This window comes from Homo sapiens, chromosome 10 (assembly GCF_000001405.40).
Source record: "Homo sapiens chromosome 10, GRCh38.p14 Primary Assembly".
NCBI classification, from domain to species: domain Eukaryota; kingdom Metazoa; phylum Chordata; class Mammalia; order Primates; family Hominidae; genus Homo; species Homo sapiens.
In genome coordinates, this window is record NC_000010.11 from 24,959,516 (window position 1) to 24,980,914 (window position 21,399).

General features: G+C 39.2%; 1 protein-coding gene across 2 annotated transcripts in view; it reads left to right on the forward strand.

Annotated features, from left to right (window-relative positions):
• The window catches only part of THNSL1 (threonine synthase like 1), a 74,301-nt gene that overhangs the window by 7,152 nt on the left and 45,750 nt on the right, over positions 1-21,399 (forward strand). For both annotated transcript variants that reach the window (XM_017016665.2, XM_047425764.1), the window contains exon 2: positions 2,291-2,360. The gene's annotated coding sequence lies outside the window, so the exon portion shown is untranslated. The remainder of the gene's footprint in view (positions 1-2,290; positions 2,361-21,399) is intronic.

Sequence of the window (21,399 nt, forward strand, 5' to 3'; positions counted from 1 at the left end):
GAAAATGGCGTTTTGATTCATTAGGTTTGAGAAACAATTAAGTAAGCAAAGTTAAGCCAACTTCTATGTTGTAGGTCTTCTAGGAGTCTTTAGTACGCCAATATGCACTGCCAATATTCAGGAAGACTGTTGCAAAATGCAATGTAATGCAACGTTTCCCAAACTTTTTTTTTTTGTCTATGCAAACCTTTCTGGAAGGTGTTTTATAAGTGTTTTAAAAATATTGCAGTATTATGAAATGTTTAAATTTATGCTTTTAATGTTTTCTCCAAGTAAGAGGTTTTATATATTCTTAAAGATACACTAAAAGGACTAAATATTTTATATATAACACTGTTTTCAAATTGTGCATAGATATTTTCTCTTCGTAAAAATATATAATAGGAATTTAAATGAAAATGGCTAAGGCCTTTCTCATCTTGTGAAATATCCTGGATTTGCAATTTGGGTTATCCTTCAGATTGACATGCAACTTGGTGTTTTCCTAGAAGACAAGGAACTTATTTCCATCTCCCTACCCCCACCTCCATCCCCCACCCCCTTTCCCATTTTTGCCATTTTTCTCTCTCTCATGTGTGAACAAAATCAGCCTTCTGAATAGCAAGAGAGATGAAAGCCATCTCATTGCGGCAATTCCCTTTTGTCTCTCTCAGTGACCATGTGGTAGCTTGCAAAGGTAATTGTTTGTTTTTAGACATTGCCAGCATGTGGAATATCCCAGCGAACCAAGAAGCAGAGCTGGGATGTGGTATTAAAAGTCATACAAAGGTATGGGCATACTGGGCTCATGGTTCCTTTCAAGGAACTCTCCCAGTGGGAATCTATTGCAGCTCTCACATTAAGAGTCCTATGGGTTGCACTTGAAGGAACTGGGTTCCTTGTGTTTTATTTGTTTTATTATTATTATTTTATTTTTATTTTTATTTTTTGGAGATGGAGCCTTGCTCTGTTTCTCAGGCTGGAGTGCATGGAGCAATCTCAGCTCACTGCAACCTCCACCTCCTGAGTTCAAGCGATTCTCCTGCCTCAGCCACCCGAGAAGCTGGGATTACAGGCGTGCACCACTACACCCTGCTAATTTTTGTATTTTTAATAGAGACAGGGTTTTACCATGTTGGCCAGGCTGGTCATGAACTCCTGACCTCAAGTGATCCACCTGCCTCAGCCTCCCAAAGTGCACCCTCACCACGCCTAATCCTCCCAAAGGATTACAGGCATGAGGCACTGCACCCAGCCTATTTTTTGTTTTTTTTTAATGGAGACAGGGTCTCACTCTGTTGCCCAGGCTGGTTTCGAACTCCTGGGCTCAAGCCATCCTCCCGCCTTGGCCTCCCAAAGTGCTAGGATTATAGACATGAGCCACCACACCTTGCCATTCCTTGTGTTTTCTAACTAGGCATCTCTTACCTACACTCCCTTCCTCAGTTGGGACTGTAGGATCCATGGCAAGTTGAACCTGACTCATAGAGGGTCAAATCTGCTATGTTTCAGCCATTCTGTTTATAACTTTTTAAAAGACAGTGCAAAGGTATTTTTCCATTTTAAATTAGTATGTACAAGTTGTTTTAAACTGGAAAATATAGAAAAACAGAAGTAAAATAGAAAACCGTGTTATATTTTGGTGCCTTCTTCCAGTTTTGTGATTCTGGAAAGTTTATCTTACCTAGTTGTGACTAAATGCACAGGCTGTAGTTCTGTTCCCTTCTTCTCTGCTTCACATTCTAAGTAAAATAAACATATAACACAAGTGTTTTTCCATAGTATAATAAACTCCTTATAAACATCATTTGAAATAGCAATGCCATCACTTATTTAACCATTCCCCAGTATAAGTATACTACTTCCAAATTTTGATTGTATAAATATATAAATAAATGTGTTTGTAATAAACCATTTATATGCATTTTAACTATTTCTAGAGGATAAACTCTCCAGAAATGGAATTTCTAAGTTAGAGAGTATAAATATTTTAAGGTTCTTGATATATATCTTGCTAAATTTAGCTTACAATATTAGTGTCTTTTTTTTTCAATGGAAGAATACAGTAAATCTTACAAGATTTTTCACTGAAAGTGAATTAAATTTTACTGTGAAAACACTTTGAGGTTCGAGGGAAAAGAATATTAGCTAACATATGTTAAAAGCGTAGTAATTGGAACTAATAAAAAAAGTCAGTTTGAATTTGTGATTCATTCTTTACTATACACTATTTTAAAACAATGTGGTTTTATCATTGTACTCCATAAAGTAATACCTAGACTAATGAAAAGTTTATGGTGCTGTGTTTCAGGGTTTTGGCTCCAACTCAGGCAGACTCAGCTTTAAAACCAGACTCCACCACCTACCACCTGATTTTGACCGTGAGCAAGTTTCTTACTTTCTTTGCTTTATTTTTCGTATCTGTTCAATGGAGATCATGCCAGTTCCTGCTTCTTAGGGTTACTGTGAGGATTAAAGAAAATAATGTATACAGAGTGCTGAGTACCTAAGGAGTGCTCAAAACCTTTTACCCAATATTAAAATAGAATTATTGTAGTGGAATTCCTGGTCAGTCAGAAGTTCTGTGTTATTAATGATGAACAGGTCAGTTAGCAGTTTTAAAAAATAAACCTACAATCTGTAAAAGCTTCATCATGTAGATGAGCTAACACGCTCCCATGAAATTATATTTATGTCTTGCGTTATCAACTCGTTCTATACATGTTATATCATATATTTATATGTGAGTATGTAAAACAAAAGTAAATTACAAGAATATCTCTGTCTAGTTAGTATAAATAGTGATGGGTTCTGAATTAAGAGCCCCATTTTTTAAATTATTGCTTTACTATTTTTATCTTACATTAGGAAGAAAATATTAGTCTGATTTGATGCCCTTAATGTTTGGAATATAAAGGACAACAACACACATTAACTTCAAAATCAATGAATATACTTAAAATAAGCTCTATAGCAAACATAACTACATCACTAAATCTCAATATTTATAGTTTATTTCTAAGGAACAAATGTAAATGGATCGAATTTTAAAAATCATTTAAACATTTTTCTAAGTGTCTGTAAAAAGGATTAGAAGAAGTGTAACATACATGTTGAAAGATTGTCCCTCAATGCAGAAGTGGGCATTGAATTTGGCACTTGGTTTGAAGCAGTTTTCTCTTTCCATAGCCATTGTATATGCCATTCGGTTACTGTGGTCAGTGGTTTTCTTGCCTTAGAACTCACTTTACCTTAGATTCTCTTCTGCGTCTTAGCTCAGCAAAATGATCATGATCCTTCTGAACCTAAAGCTCAGGCCAACATTGTCATTATCTCAATTTGTCTCTTGGCTTGAGAAAGAACTTTCAGATTCTCTTCAGTTCATATCAAACACACAAAGCAAACAACCCTAAAAGTCACACACACAGGTGAGAACTTTTCAACACACTTTAAATTAAGGCAATTCAAAGAATAGGAGACTAGAAAAATCTAGTTTGCATGGTAAGGCCAGATGCTGAACCCAGAAATAATAATTTCTTTCTAATTCCAAGATTGATGTCACTGGCTTTCCATTCTCAGATTTCTCAGCATGTTCATTACAATCAGCCACAGAGTACAGCTGACACCTAGGTCACCTTTTCCAGAGAATAAAGGGATGAGAGATGGGTGACTCAGACTTTTCTGTGGGTCTGGGTATTTTGCCAAAGCTTAAGCGATATAGACAGAATGCCTTAGCAATTGTGAAAGTCATACCTGGACTCTGTACTCATTACCTTTCACCGTGTTAGTCAAGTCATATTACCTTTTGTATTCTGTTTTTCTGTGTGCAGTGTTACCTGTGACCTTTCTGTATTCTTTTTCGACATTTATTTTCTAAGTTTTAAAACTAGTCTGTGTTTCTGAGCTCTTGCTTTAGGCGTAGTTCTCAGGTTCAGACCAATTGCCTAATCAACTGGGTTGATTTTTAAAAGTAGCAGACTTTTTAAAATGGCAAATATGAAGAATGGTTATTGAGGTTGTTATTATTCAGGAACCTCTTTCAGTTGGTTTGGGAAACCTGGAACGTACAGTTCTGATGATTTTTCTTATTCTTAGAGACATTACACATGTTCTAAAAGTTTTTTCCAAATCTCTTTCCATATTTTCTTTTTCTTCTTGCAAAAGACAAATAAAAAGAAAAATTTTGACATTAAAAGCAAACCATGAAAAATGATGTAAAACATCAGGCAACCAAAAATTCCCAAAAGCCCGTTTGCTTTTTCCTAGAGAAAAATAAAAACGGTAGAAATAATGATCTAAGAAACATTCCCCATTTCACACAGCACATTCTAGGAACGTCTGAAGATTAATGGAGCATGCAGGAAAGGCTTCTCTATCCATTGTGAAAAGCTGTGGACAGCTCTGTCATGCTGTCATTCTCTAGGTTTGGGAGCTTAGAAGATTTTGCCAACAGAAGTACCCAGGTTTGTAAAACGCCATGAATTTTACCTGGTTTTATAAAGATCAGGGTTTCCCAATATTAGCAATATAGACACTTGGAGCTCCATGATTCTTTGTGTGAAACTGTCCTGTGTATTGTAAACTGTTTAACAACATTCCTGGCTTCTTTTGCTCCTTAGAACCCAGTAGCACCCCCAATTGTAACCATCAACAATGTCTTCAGAAAGTGCCAAATGTCCATGGTGGCTGGGGGTAGAGGGTGATAGCCCAAACTCATCCCCTGCTATTCTTTAACATCACTGCCCTAGAGTAACAGCCTTTATACTGACCTCAGCTGTTTCCTACTCTGTTTTTAGGAGGTAAATGAAAATGTTAGGCTCATAGCTGATAGACCCGTAGACAGTAGGTCTGTAGCTCTCATGAATATGGGAATAACGAGAGAAAAGTTTGTGTGTGTGGGTTCTTTCTTTCATGCTTCCTGGAATAAAAAACATAAACACAAAGAAAATATAAATTGTTTCAAACATAGAGAAACATAAGTTAAATGAAGCTCAGGTCAAAATGCAAAGCCAAAATTAGAGACCTGCACTTTCTTTTTAATATAAAATCAATCATTTCCATTTTCTCTTAGTCTTTCAAAATTGGAATTTGCAGTTTATAATATTAATAGACGTCCAAGATTCATTGATATTACTTCCATTTCATATAAAGGAAAATGACTCTTGGGAGACTAAGCAATGTACTTATGACTATCCACAGTAATGATATTTTAAATTCATGAGGCTTACAGCAGGATCCAGAAGTGAGCTTCCCTTCTTAGACCTGCCTTTGACATAAAACTGTCCAGGCTGAGCAGCGTGGCTCACGCCTGTAATCCTAGCACTTTTGAAGTCCCAGGTGGGCAGATGGTTTGAGCCTAGGAGTTCAAGACCAGCCTGGGCAATATGGAGGAACCCCTTCTCTACTAAAAATCAATATCTTAGCTGGTCATGGTGGTGCACACCTGCAGTTCCAGTAACTCAGGAGGCTTTGGTGGGAGGATCACTTGACTAGGAGGTTGAGGCTACAGTGAGCCATGATTGTGTCACTGCACTCCAGCCTGGACGACAGAGCGAAATCCTATCTCAAAAAAAAAAAAAAAAATTAGAACCATCCAGTCTAAGATGAACAAGCCATTGTCCTGCTATTGTGGGAAAACCTGGAATCAGGAATCCCAACCCTGAAATCTACCATGTCCTGCCTCTGTCACTTACTGTGTGATCTTGGGACTCACAACCCTAAGGTTCACTTCCTTTGTGTGAAAAATGAGAACAACTGCAATTGATTGATGTGACTGTTGTGATGATTATCTTAGTATCACTATCACCGCCACCCACTTTATTCTTCCGCGTTTCCTCCTTTTCCTTCTTTCCTCTCCACTTGTGTCTGGTCCACTGGCCTCCAGAGGCCACAGCCCTCATTGACTTGCCCAGCCCTGATTCTGAGCCCCAGCCCTAAAGAGAGATTATGCAAACCTCTGCAGAGTTTTCAGAAAAAGCTTACATGCTTCATCAAATTATCTCTGTCAATTTCTTACTACTTGAAATGATTTCTTCAAATTTCCAAGTGCTTAGATGTCTATGAATATGGAAAATTAAGTTCTCTGTGAAATATAATCAGAAATGCCTTTGGGTTGAGTGGAAGGAATATTGGCGAGGATTCCTCTATGGATGGATACTCAGTCCTTTGCAGGGCCCTGCATTTCATTTTTGAGCAGCTCTAGTTATTGAAAAGTGTATACTTTCCTCTTGATTTTTCTTCTGGAACAACACTGGTTGAATCTCTTTCCTTGTTCACTAATAAGCTACAGAAATCAGCAAGTCGTGGGCCTATAAACTTGCTGCATTTAAAGATTTTATATGAGAATACATCAAATACAAAATAATGAAACGAATTCCACAGCCACACAACCACCTGAAACCTGGTCTTGTTTCTTGCATTTAGTAGAGGTTGTGTAACTTGGGAGGTTGACCTGATTCTTTAGTTAAATGATTTCTGAAGTATGAACATTAAAATTTCAGAATAAGAGATATAACTGGCAGAGAAAATAAGTTATATTTGGCTTTGCCTGCAATAGTATTTGGATATTGACTCAATAGAGGATGCCCTTAAGAATACTTTGCCAAGAACACATCCAGATTCATCACCTCCCTCCTGAAGAATAAGTGTGAAGCACAGTGCAAGGAGAGTAGAAACTGGAACCTCTCTGCTGCATCCAGAAAACAGAAAATCAAATATGTCACTTACACAATTTGCCATTTTGGCATCAATGCCACCTTTATATTTAAAGAAGAAAAAATGAAATGTGTGCAAAGAAAGGCCCTAATAATAAAGTGGCTAATAAAGGAGAGACCCCAATGTGTTGTACATGCAACCTTCTCATTAACTTTGAAAGCAGCACCAACTTTTGCTGAGACCACAACACCCTCTTGCTTTCTTCAGTCCTTTCTCCCAGTGCTGTGGGCCTTTTTTTGGACATCAGAAACACCTTTTCTCTGAGACAATTTCCAGCATTAACTGAGCAGCCTGGGCTGCAAGCCTGGTGCCCCAACACCGTTTTCATTATTCTCTTAATGGAATCACACTCTGTTAGAATGTGTCACTCCACATGTGTAAGGATTAAAACGGATGGAATATGGTACAAGAAGGATGCTGGAGATTAAGTGAAATCTTAGTGAAGAGTACTTCCTGTACCTTTTTAGGCATCTGAGTATATTCCTTTATTTATGGGCATCCACACTCTCACCCATCAACACCTCTATTATGAATTATTGATGGTGAGATCTTGGACAATTACCTAACCTCTCCATGCTTCAATTTCCCTATCAGTAAAAGAGGATGATAATCATATCTACATCATAAGGCTATTATGAGGACTGAGTTAATTTAGATTAAGCACTTAGAATAACGCAGACCCTAGTAAGAACTATATATGTTTGCTATTGTTACTACAACAGAGAAGAAAATGTGGTAGTGTCTGTTTTTCACTTTATTGGCTATTCATGGCTTTGAAAAGTCATAACAATTTATTTTTTTTTTTACCTAACTAAATAAGCAGATTTACTGCCAGTTATGAACAAGGTCTGCTGCTTTGCACATCATAACAGGCCAGAAAGATTCCAGATTCCATGGGTACCAGGTTCAATTTCTGGGCTCCACGAATTCAGAGCTCCTGAGTCTTCTTTTTCTGGTATGTGTGTATGTGTGTGTGCGTGTGTGTGTGCATGTACATGTGTGTGCATGTGTGTGCGTGCATGCACTGAAGAGTGGCAGAGACAGATCCAGCTGGTCCAGACTGCCCGTTCTTCTGTCATTACTCTACATAGTGAAACCGTGTGATTTCTTTCATCAGGTGCAGCTGGTACCACCTGGTCTGCCTTTAATGGATGTTCTGCCCAGAAATGATGAAAGGCTTTGGCTCTTACAACTGAGAATAAACCCCCAAATGAGCTGAATGCTCACCATGGAGGTAGTGGGGGAAGGATGGGGAATTTTAGCTCTTCTCTTTCTTTCAGTGAAGCTTTATAGTTCTCATTGTGTTACTCTTTGCTTAATTCAATGTTTAGGTCCTCAAACAAATTTTACAAGAGACTTTTCATCAGTCTCGCTGTAATCCTGACCCTCCTTTATGCCTTTGATGACCTTGATTGGATAGTAATGACTCCTATGTGCGTGTGTGTGTACATGTGTGTATGATGTGTGTGTATGATGTGTCCATATGTGTGTATGATGTGTGTATACGTGTGTGATATGTGTGTATGATGTGTGTATGTATGATGTATGTATATGCACGATGTGTGTATATGTATGTGCGTATGATGTGTGTATGATGTGTGTATATGTGCATGTATATGATGTGTGTATGTCTGTATGATGTGTGCGTATGATGTATATGATGTGTGTGTATTTTGTGTGTGTATGTGTGTATGATGTATGTGTATACGTGTGTATGATGTGTGTGTATATGTGTGTATGTGTATGATGTGTGTGTATGTATGATGTGTGTGTATATATGTGTATGATGTGTGTGTGTGTGTGTGTGTGTGTGTGTGTGTGTGTGTACAGGCTGCTGGTAGTCCTGGCCACCAGTTACATCATCACTGGGATGCTGCAAAGAGTGCAAAATATTAGTGGGAAATGTCATTACCTGATAGATTTTTGAAAACCTATCTGCAAGTAAGAGCTTGGGCTATCATTCCTTCTTACTTTTGATTCTAATATAGGGAGCAAGGTTTTCCCAGGCCCAGAGGAAAGAACTCTCTCTCTGTTGCCTTTTTCCTTTGTCTCTGACATCAGTCCTTCTCCAGGGCTGATGCACAAGGAAGACGAAGCGTAAGCCTACCCATTGTGAGGTGCTCCTGCCCGTGAAGCCTAAGAAGGCACAAATTCAATGTCTTGCCTAGCCAACAAGGCAGCCTTAAAAAATAGGAATCTACCAATCTTCAACCCATCTCTACCTCACAGGTGCCAACATCCCCTTGCTCATCCAGGAGCTAACATCCTCCTTGGGTGTTAGACAGCATCCTTCGTTGTCTAAGATCCTTCCAGTGGTGCCGTACTTAGACCTGCCTTGCACAGTACCGCTGCACACCCACGACTTTTCTCAGCCCCTACACTGCCTCTTCTCCTCCTTTGTATGCCTCTGACTCCTTCAGCTGCGGCCTTTCTATCCTTAGCGTATTTGGATAAGTGAATTCAGTACTGCCTGAAAAGATTTGATGGTGGGATTTCAGACACTGTAGTGAGTTGAAAAAAGCAGACCAATTGTTCGAAAACCCATAATTTCACCTAGGTATTCTGTATGTTACTCAAGGCTCTGTTGTACACAGAGCTTGCTACCTTTGGAGAGACAGAAGTCGAATCACATATGATCACTCACTCCGCCTCTATTTTCCCAACTATTGCATTTGACTTCTTTGTTGTTGTTGTTGTTTTCTTGAGACGGAGTCTCGCTCTGTCACCCAGGCTGGAGTCCACTGGTGTGACCTCTGCTCACTGCAACCTCTGCCTCCCGGGTTCAAGTGATTCTTCTGTCTCAGCCTCCAGAGTAGCTGGGATTACAAGTATGTGCCACTATGCCCGGCTAAGTCTTGTATTTTTAGTAAAGACAAGGTTTCACCATGTTGGTCAGGCTGGTCTGGAACTCCTGACCTCAAGTGATCCACCCGCCGCGGCCTGTCGAAGTGCTGGGATTACAGGAATGAGCCACCGCGCCCGGCCACATTTGACTACTTTATAAGTAGCAAGATGAATGTTTTCAGTCCTTAAGTAAGCCCATGCTACTCCTTTGGCTGTGAAGACTCACAATTTTAGAGTCTGTAAGTCATGTTTGCTCAGGATGAGTGTTACGTACTTAAGATATTATGAACGTTTCATAACTCTTTTTCTGTATGTCCATCACAGAACTACAGAATCAATAGGTCTGTTTTTATAAGTGAGCTCTGAAGAAAAAATCATATAACATGGAAAAAATGAAAAAGGAGACCATGATGCTGACTTTTCTAACAAATACTACAAGCTGTAGTTTGGTGTACTTATTTCTCTGCTTTAATAAGATTGTAAGATATAGTTTTTAAAGGAAAAAATTCACAGAGAGCAGTGAATTTGAAGAAAAAAGTTGGAGGGTGCCCTTTGTTTGCAAAAATACAAATAAGAGCAGTTTCAAAACGGCTACTTAAGTGCTGTCCATAGTTACAAAGCCCCTGTAGCTGATGAATTTTATCACGTGGAACGACATTTTAGGCCTTCATCAATATTTATCCTCTCTTATCATGAATATTTCTTATAACATTCCCTAAGGAAGTCTAAAACTTTTCTAAGAAACTTTTGCATCATCTTGAACTTGCATCTGCTAAGCTTGATTGCCTTAGAAAAAACCCACTCTTTTATATCCTTTTGCATAGCAACATCCCAAACACAGCAAACATGATGATACACGGAAAAGAAAAAGAGTCTGGGAGAAATACAGCTATGAAGGGACCAGCTTGTGTTTCCAGAAACCACTTGAGGACAGTGTTGTTGCTCCCCCATGAGAGCTGCAAGGGGCCAGCCCCATTCATGGTTCTCATTTCCTGAAGCTCTTCTTTAGCAATTCTTACAAAGTTTTATTTTATTCTGAAATCACGTGAAGAGGAGGAAAAATCAATGTTTATTGAAGGAGGGAAAATCCTTTCAAGATGATCTGTACTCCCATAGGATGGGCTGCATATTTTAGAAGTATGGTAAGTATGCACTCTTCTGAAACAGTTACCATAGGAACAATTTTTTTTCCCCATTAAATGGAAGGGTAATCACTGTCATAAATTTCCACACAAATGTCTAAGCTACACAAATTAAGCATTGGTTGGGAGTCAAATCCAACTGACTGCATATTTACACACTCTTTTAAATAGGCAGATGATAGATAGAGAGGAACTGTAGACAGAATCCTTCCTTTAAGATATTTGCATATCCAGGAAGGGTGTGGTGACCCACACCTGTAATCTCAGCACTTTGGGAGGCAGAGGCAGGAAGATCACTTGAGGCCAGGAGTTGGAGACTAGCCTGGGCAACATAGCAAGAACCTGTCTCTAAAAAAAAAAAATTAAAAATTAGCTAGGTGTGGTAGTGTACACCTGTAGTTCCAGCTACTTGGGAGGCTGCGGCAGGAGGATCACTTGAGCCCAGGAGTTCAAGGCTGCAGTGAACCATATTTGTGCCACTGCACTCCAGCCTGGGTGACAGCATGAGATCCTGTCTCTATTAATAAAAAAAAAAAAAATAGTTTGGGGCCGGGCACGATGGCTCACGCCCGTAATCCCAGCACTTTGGGAGGCTTAGGCAGGAGGATCCCCTGAGGTCAGGAGTTTGAGACCAGCCTGGCCAACACGGTGAAACCCCATCTCTACTAGAAATACAAAAATTAGCCAGGCATGGTGGCACCCACCTGTAATCTCAGCTACTCAGGAGGCTGAGGCAGAAGAATCACTTGAACCCAGGAGGCAGAGGCTGCAGTGAGCTGAGAACATGCCACTGCACTCCAGCTTGGGTGACAGAGTGAGGCTCTGTCTCAAAAAAATAGTTTGCACATCCAACAGCCAAACTACGTGTTTACTAAACAAACCATCAAAGAGGGCACTTTGACACTCACTGCTTTTTTTTTTTTGAGACAGGGTCTTGCTTTGTCACCAAGGCTAAAGTGCAGTGGCACAATCATAGCTCACTGCAGCCTCAAACCCTGGGCTCAAGCAATTCTCTCACCTCAGCCACCTGAATAGATGGGACTACAGGTGCAAGCCATTACACTTGGCTAATTTTTTTAAAATTATTTTTTGTAGAGACAGGTTGCCACTATGTTACACAGGCTGGTCTTGAACTCCTGGGCTTAAGCAATCCTTCCATCTAGGCTTCCCAAAGTGTTGTGATTACAGGTGTGAACCACAGCACCTGGTCACCCATTGCTTTTTAATTCAGCTCTGACTTCCTAGGAGGGCATCATCCCAGCTCCTCTCTGGAAAGCCCTCCCAAGCAATATCAAAGAGGATTCTTATAGCCTGGCTCATAAGTATTTATTGTGAAGAAGGGAACAAATGTGACATACCACTGTGTAGTGGATACATAGAGTTCTGTAAGCAATACCAAGTGTCAAGTGGGGTTTTAATTATGAAGGCTTGCACAATAAGCTGGATTTGAGCCAGATTTTAAAAAAGGTAACATCTAGGAAACAGTGGGATGTTTTGGTGGAAGAGCATATTCCATTTATCTTACAATGTGCTGTTTTCATGTTTGAACATCTCTAAAATCAATGGTGTTTCACAGTCACTATCAACCAGGGGGCAGTTGTGATGTATGCAACATCATGCACAGAGGAACAAACTTGGTTATTGTCATTTCAACTGAGTTTTGTCTATTGTTGGCTCTGTGCATGTTAGGTTTAACTGACATTTAAAATGTCTTGGCCAGGTGCAGTGGCTCACACCTGTAATCTCAGTACTTTGGGAGGCCTAGGCGGGCGGATCACCTGAGGTCACGAGTTCAAGACCAGCCTGGCCAACATGGTGAAACCCTGTCTCTACTAAAAATACAAAAAATTAGCTGGGCGTGGTAGCGGGCACCTGTAATCCCAGCTACTCAGGAGGCTGAGGCATGAGAATCACTTAAACCCAGGAGGTGGAGGTTGCAGTGAGCCAAGATGGCGCCATTGCACTCCAGCCTGGGTGACAGAGCAAGACTCTATCTTAAAAAAAAAAAAAGCTTTACAAAAGATTACACTAGGCCGGGAGTGGTGGCTCGCGCCTGTAATCCCAGCACTTTGGGAGGTTGAGGCAGGCGGATCACCTGAGGTCAGGAGTTTGAGACCAGCCTGGCCAACATGGTGAAACACCATCTCTACTAAAAATACAAAAATTAGCCAGGTGTGGTGGCGGGTGCCTGTAATCCCAGCTACTTGGGAGGCTGAGGCAGGAGAATCATTTGAACCCGGAAGGTGGAGGTTGTGGTGAGCCAAGACCCTGCCACTGCACTCCAGTCTGGGTGAGAGAGCAAGACTCTGTCTCAAAAAAAAAAAAATAAATAATAATAATAATAATTGCACTACTATTTGTCCTGGGAAAGGAAACATTTTTATGTGTACAGAAAGATGCCAAAACTGAGCAGAGTGGCAGAATTTGATATTAGTTGAAGGAAGTGATTGTCTTAGGAGGAAAGACCAATATCAAAATGCAGATGAGGAGTTGGTAGCTTGGAATAAAATCCCAGAGACAATGCTGGAGTCCTCTTGTGTGAAAAGTTGCAACATTCCTGACAGTGCAGAAAATATGGTAAAATATGGACACTGACAATTGTGAGAGGAAAGTGATCAAGATAAGTCCAGCTATGAATATAAGGATATTTTAGGATTACAGCAGTCCCCCTTATCAGCAGGGAATACATTCTAAGACCCCCAGTGAATGCCTGAAACTGCAGATAGTACTCAACCCTTTATATACTACATATTTTTTTCTGTACATATCTAAATTAAGCTTTAAATTATAAATTAGGCACATAAGAAATGAGCAGCCACTAATAATAAAATAGAACAATTAAAACAACAAGGTGTTCACAATTTCACAGATAGAACATTCATTCTTAGCATAGATCTTAGCAACCTCTGCATACAATTTCTTTTTCTTTCCTTATTAAGTCCATAACTTTCACCATTTCACTTAAAGGAAGCACTTTATGGCTTTGCTTTGGCATATCCGACTTGCCAGCAGCACTACTCCTGCACTTTGGAGACATTATGAAGTAAAATGAGGGTGAATTGAGAGTTGAACCCAAGCACTGTGATACCATAACAGTCAATCTGACAGCCTCGTCGACTAAGTGAGACCGCTAAGTGCTACTAGATGGGCAGGGAGTGTAGACAGTGTGGATCTGCTGAACAAAGGGACAATTCAGGTCCAGGTGGGATGGAGCAGGACGGTGCAAGATTTCATCACAGTACTCAAAACAGCATGCAGTTTAAAACATATGGATTGCTATTTCTGGAATTTTCCATTTAATATTTTCTAACCATGTTGACCACAGGTAACTAAAACTGCAGAAACTGAAACCACAGATACAGGAGGACTACTGTACCACTGTACCTTATCCTTAATCTTTTTATGAGAATACATGAAAAAAATTATAAGAATACATGAAAAAAATTGTATCTTAAGTTGAAAAGGGCTGTTTCAGCAAGTATAAAATTCGAAGAGAGAAGGAAACATTATGACAATTAATTGTTAGAGGTTTTTTTTTCCTTTGATTTAAGATAATGATAACTCATTTTTTTCTTTTGAGACAGAGTCTCCCTCTTTCGCCCAGGCTGGAGTGAAGTGGCATGATCTCAGCTCACTGCAACCTCCGCTCCCTGGGTTCATGTGATTCTCCTGCCTCAGCCCCCTGAGTAGCTGGGATTACAGGCGTTCGCCACCACGCCCGGCTAATTTTTGTATTTTTAGTAGAGACAGAGTTTCACCATTTTCGCCAGGCTGGACTCAAACTCCTGACCTCAGGTGATCCACCCACCTCGGCCTCCCAAGGTGCTAGGATTACAGGCTGTAATCTTTTACCATGACATTTTAGGTTTAATGATATACAGACATGTAAAAAAAATTGAATAAGCACAGTATGATATTAGAACATATTATAGGAGAGCAGAAGTTCAATGAGATGAGAATGGGGCAGAAATCAAACACCATAAGATCCTCAGAAAAATATTAGTAAATTTAATAATTTTAGAATTTGTTTTCTTTTAAACATTTGAATAAATTGTCTAGAACGCTTGAATTCTGATGTGATTTTTAAAAAAAAATCTAACAATTTCTATATAGTTTAAAAATCTATTGTAAGAAAATTAGCCCCAATATGTGTATTAAGGGGATTGTAATAATAAAATATCAGTCGGGAATAATAAAATACCAGTCTGAAAATTCACTCACTATACTTTAATTGTATTTACATGAAAAACACAACAGTTCTTAAAGAAAGTAGACGTCTTATGAAGAATCAATGCCAGATACTATTTAAATACATCTTATGAGATAATGCTGGGAACATAAGACTAAATGACAATATAACAATGCAGATTTTACAAAGTGGATTATTCTGATTAAGGCATTTGGCTTATATTTTTGCTTTTTGAAAACTTTTTTTCTCACTTTATAAAAAATATAATGGTCAGTTGTCATCAGCTTGCTTGGTTAATACCGAAATAACTAGAAATTTTGAAGATTTAGAATCTTGGCACATTATTTTATTTTTATGTTATAAAATATTCTTAGAAAAAACAGACTTTCAGGATTTACAACTGCATTTTATTCCATAAAGGGTGTGCCAAAGCTATCTTTAATAACGTTTTGGGTACATTACAAAAGAATTACAGCAATTTAATGGTACAGTGAGGTGGTGATCCAAATTCTAAGATAATGTTAAAATTTGCAGCCTAACTCATCCATCCCACTGTTTATACCATCTATACCTATAAAGCATTCTTGCTAGTTAGTGCTGGACATCATCTTACTAAGTGGGTGGCAGCTGCCTGTCATCTCAATAATTCTGAAAAAAAGCCAGGGAATTTGTTTTAAAGCATTTGTCCAGATTAAACCACATGTGGCCTCCAGGGTGCTCTGGGCCTAAAGCCTAAGCCTGCTGGCTGTGTTGAGCCATCGAGCTTATTCAGAAAAAAAAAATGAACTGCATTCTCAAAGCCAATAAAGATAAAAGAAACCTACGTTAGTCCAAAACAGCACAGCTCAAGGGTGGGAATTGCACAAGATTAAGGTTTGTCCTCAGTATTGGCCTCAGAAAAGTCAGGGGATAGAAAGGAAAGTAGACAGCTGCTGGGTCCTTCTGTTTTTTGTTTTGCTTGCTTGAAAGAAACTTGAATTGGACAGTTAACTTTGTCTTGATTAACTCTAGTGGTGAATAGTGGCCCTGAGCACACGATAGCAAACTGTGGTTATGTTGTTGATATGGTTAGGCTTTGTGTCCCCACCCAAATCTCATCTTGAATTGTAATCTCCAGGTGTTGAGGGAGAGACTGACGGGAGGGAGGTGATTAAATCATGGGAATGCTTTCCCCCATGCTGTTATCCTGTTCTCATGATAGTGAGTTCTCGTGAGATCTCATGGTTTTATAAGGGGCTCTTCCCCTTTTGTTTCCTACACACGCTCTCTCACCTGCCACCATGTAAGATGTTCCTGCTTTCCCTTCCACCATGATTGTAAGTTTCCTGAGGCCTCCCCAGCCATGTGGAACTGTGAGTCAATTAAACCTCTTCACTTTATAAATTAGCCAATCTTGGGTAGTATCTTTATGGCAGTGTGAAAACGAACTAATACAGATGTCTACTTAGGTAATACAATAGCTACATTGAATGTTTGGCACAGAATCCTATGAAAGATAAGACTTGATAGAATTTCCACATCTTAGAAAGGATCATAATTTGATTCTTCATGATAGTCATTGAATAAAGTGACATCTAAGTGATGGGAAAGATTGTTAGGCAGGCTGTAAAGCTGTTGACCTTGTTATTCCATGGCAAACCATTTGGTAAAATTGTCACATGCACTGTCACAGAAGGGAAGCCACATGCCTTTCTACCCCTTCCTGGGAGACTGATTGGAAAAACTCAGAATATTGTGGTGGGTTAGAACGACTGCTCCTAAGTACCTTTAGCAAGATCATATGGAAGAGAAGGACTCAGGCGAGAAGTGTACAGTTTGCATGGAGAGACGTAACTGCATAGTGGAGATTTTATTGTGTGTGAAGGGAGGGTCTCTCTGCATGCAGCCTGCAATCTAGAGTTAATAAACAAGTAGACTCTCAGCACTGGAAAAATACAATCAAGAAAGAGAAAAACACAAAACATAGGAAGCAGCAAACCCAATGCAGACCTCACCACTGGGATAATGAAAGCAGGACTCACATGGTTGCAATGTTAAAATTTGCAGCCTAACTCGTCTATCTCACTGTTTATATCATCTATACCTATAAAGCATTCTTTTTTCTTTTTCTTTTGTTTTTTTTTGAGACTGAGTTTCATTCTTGTTGTCCAGGCTGGAGTGCAATGGCATGGTCTTGGCTCACTGCAACCTCCGCCTCCTGGGTTCAAGTGATTCTCCTGCCTCAGCCTCCCAAGTAGCTGGGATTACAGGTGCCTGCCACCACACCCAGCTAATTTTTTGTGTGTTTTTAGTAGAGACAGGGTTTTCACCATGTTGGCCAGGCTGGTCTTGAACTCCTGACCTCAGATGATCCACCTGCCTCGGCCTCCCAAAGTGCTGGGGTTACAGGTGTGAGCCACCACACCTGGCTATAAAGCATTCTTACTAGTTAGTACTGAACATCATCTTACTAAGTGGGTGCCAGCTGCCTGTCATCTCAATAATTCTGCAAAAAAGCCAGGGAATTTGTTTTAAAGCATTTATCCAGATTAAACCAATGAATTTACCAATGAATCCAAATTGGAAAATTCAACACAGTGAGGCCAAGGACAGGGAAGGGAGTGTCCCATATCCATAGCCCCTCTTCCATCCAGAATAAAAACATAGGCATTAAAAATCAATGAAAGCATTGCTTTCTTAATGAGATCCACAATATTGATGGTGTGTGGTTGATAAAGAGTGAAATAATAAAAAAGCTATTCCTAACATAAAGGCTTACATTCATACATGATGCCTTTTATGACAAGTCTTCTGATCTCTGTAGGCTGTGACAGAAGAAAACCAAGTATCTGTCAAATAGGTGTAATTCTTCTATAGATATATGTATAATTATTTTCATACTATGGATACTTATATGAATAGAATGTATACATTTAGAACAATAAGAAGTTGGTCATAGTGGTTGCTTATGTGAAAGGGACACGAGAAAGATGTCTTCTTCCTACTTACCTTTGAGTAAATTATACATTTTAGGTCAGGTATATACATTACCTAATCACACACAGGCAAAAACAGCAAAGTAAAAAATAGTTCCTAATACAATCAACAAGTGCAATTTTCAAGCTCATTCACTGCAACATTGCTTTTAATAGGAAATATGAAAACAATTTAGATGTCCATCAATAGGGTACTGGTGAAGTTTATTATATACGCCTACACAGTTCAACACCATGTATCCACAAAAAGGAATGAAGAATATGTATTAATAAAAAAATGAGCTTTACAGCATTACTAACTGAAAAAGGCAAATGTTATTGCATGTTCTCATTTAAATTTTAAAAAGTGAGAGGAATATACATATGTGTGTATGTAATTATTATGTATGTGTGTATATATATGCATTTGTTTTTATACAATATTTATAGAAAAGTTACATTAAAAATTGATAACATTAGTTGTCTCAGGAAAGGAGAACTTGGTAGCAGAAGTTCAGGAATGGGATGGATATTTTGTATTCCAAAAGAATTCCACAGATGTTTTTCACATCAGCAATATCATTTAGATAAGTTTATGTTCTTGCTTCACAGACATCACTGACTTGAGTGCCTAAGGTAAAGCAGTTTTAACAAAAAAATATACTACCCATCTATTCTTGTTTCCTATATAGGCACCTCGTTTAGAATAAAAAATCTACATCTAAAGGCTATATCTGCGTGTGCAGTTTTAAAAATTAGTATGTGCATGGCCTTTTTACACCAGTCCTGTGAAACACTATCTTTCAGTTTGCAGGTATAATTGGTATTCACTTACTCTGTTGCTAACTTCAGTTCTTTTTCATCAAGCACATTATGTAGAAAGACAAAAAAATGCTATTCCCTTTGGCTTCGCTCCACAATTTTTAAAATTATGAACACATAGTTTTTTTTTTGTTGGTGGCCTCAGACATTGTCCTAAGAGCATAGAATGTTCTTCTATCATTGGAAACTCTCATTCTAGATAAAAGAACACATGTCATTCCTTTTTTTTTACTTTTCTTCTCCCATCCTTCTCCCTCTCTCCTCTCTCTCCTGTCCTCTCTCTCTCTCTCTCCTCTCTCTCTCTTTCCCTCTCTTTCTCTGTCTTCTTTTCTTCTCCTTCTCTCTCTCTCTCTCTTTATAAATAATAGCACTGGCTTCCTAGAGAGACCATGTATTTAAAGTCCTTAGAAGACGAACACTCTGTGGTTGAAAACCTCAAAGGACTGTTGTTAAGGAAGCTTTCATTTGAAAAGATTGAAAAATTAGTGACAATTTTTGTTTTACTTATCATTCTTTCTAGCTTGTCAAATGATGTTCTTGGGTTGATATGTGTTGGTGCAAATCATTGGTTCTGTATCCGCCAGCGCTTTCCTGCATTCCGATCAGTTTGGAGACCAAACTCTTGTTTGCAGTAACTTGAAATAGTCTTAGAGTTTTATAGTTATAGACCATTAGGACTGGAAGGAGGGTTGGACAAAATCTGGTTCTGTTTCTTTGTATTACAGATAAGGAAAATAAGGCTGAGGCTCACTAAGTGATTTTCCAAAAGTTACATAACTTGCTGTCAGTCAGACCTGCTGATTTTTTAAACCATAGCACATTTCAGCAGAAAGAAACTAATCCTCCAGAAAAATTATTTTGCTCTTTTCTTCCCCCGATCTGTGTTTGTCTCTTACTTGGAGTAACCAGTGTTTACGAATAAATCACCTGAGGTTTACTAAGAACTTGGAAAGGAGCGAAATTAGGTTGTTCTCTTGAGAGTTACATATGATGTTCACCAGCATTGGCTTCCTTAACTGCCGAAAAATTTCCTTGACCTTTTGAAAAGTTTCCTTCAATTTGGTATTCAAACTGTATTACTGTGGACTGTGTTAATAAGCATAGTGGGTCCAATGCTAATGTTGTGGCTGGTATTAATGGCATTAACATATCTAGAAAGAGAAAAGGATTCAATGGAAGAGTTTAGACTACAAACAATGCAACAGAGGCCAGGTGCCAGTGTAGATGTTGACCTGTGTCCTACTCAGAGTCAGGAGAAAGTCTTGGCCAGGGTGTTGAGAATGTCATTCCCATTGTCAAGGATCTACTTTAGGGAAAAGGTGCTCCTTTCTTGAATTTTCTTGGCTTCCTGGTTTTCTTTTGACCTCTCTGGACACTAAACTTTCATTGTTTTGGCCTTTCATTTACTGACTCCTTCTCTCCCACCTTACCTCTAAATGGCAGTTGCTGAGAGCTTATTCATTGCCTTCTCACTTTGTCCCAAGGTGATCTCATTCACACTGATGAATCTCCAAACATAAAGGTCTACCCCACATCTCCTTTGATCCAAATCTCTCACTCTTTCAATCTATCTTTCCATCTCTTGATCTAAATTTCCAACTAGATGCCACAATTTTCATAAGCCTAACATGTTTAAAATCATATTCTTGATCTCTTCACCATATCTTCTCTTAAACTGCTCCTGCCCTAGGTTTCCCCAGTTCAGAAAATGGCGGCCCCGCCCCCGCCTCCCCACTGCCTGGCTGCTCAAATCAGAATTTGGTTGTAAATTTTGAAACCTCCCTCTTCCCCCGTTCAATCCATCACCAAGTTATATTTTTACCTCTTAAATATTTCTTGAAGCCAACAGCTACTCTTTGTCTGCACTGCTACAACCTTGATCTGTGCCACTATCTTCTTTACCAACTAGTCCACTAACTAATCTCCCCATGCTCATCTGATCTTCCACTTCAGTCCACGTAGCGAATGATAATTTACAAATACTGATTGCCTCGTGCCACCTCTCTGCTTAAAACGCATCAGTGGTGCCTGATTTCCTCCTCATCTTCAGCTTGCACCTTTCTGCCCTTTTCTAAGTTCACCCCAGCCCCATGGATGCCTTGCCTATCCGTCAAGGGTTTCCTGCCCCAGATCCTTCACACATTCTTCTCTCTCTGCTTGGAGTTCTTTCCCCTCTGCAACCCTTTTCTTCTTCTCAACTTTTTCCAACTTCCACTAATTCTTCAGTCTCATTTAAAATGTCAGATCCTACAAAATCTGATTTAGGATTCCCTTGGTATTCTCTTGCATAGCATCCTGTTTTTTTTCTTCCAAAACACTAATTTCAATTTCTAATTATAAATGCATTATATTTGTGTGATTATTTCTGTCTTCCCAACATAGCTGTTTTGTTCACTATTATATGCCCAGCAACTAGAACAGTTCTTGGCACATGGCAGATAGTCAATATGGGTTGAATGACAATGAGAGAGCTATGTCAGCTGACAGGCTTTTGATAAAATAAATTTTTTTTCTCTTGACTCTGTTTTAGCCAAAGTACCTGTTGGGTGTTTTTTGTTTGTTTGTTTGTTTGTTCAAGATAGAGTCTCCCTCTGTCACCCAGGCTGGAGTGCAGTGGCGCCATCTTGGTTCACTGCAACCTTTGCCTCCCAAGTTCAAGCAATTCTCCTGCCTCAGCCTCCTGAGTAGCTGGGACTATAGATGCATGCCACCATACCCAGCTAAGTTTTGTATTTTTAGTACAGTGAAACAGTGT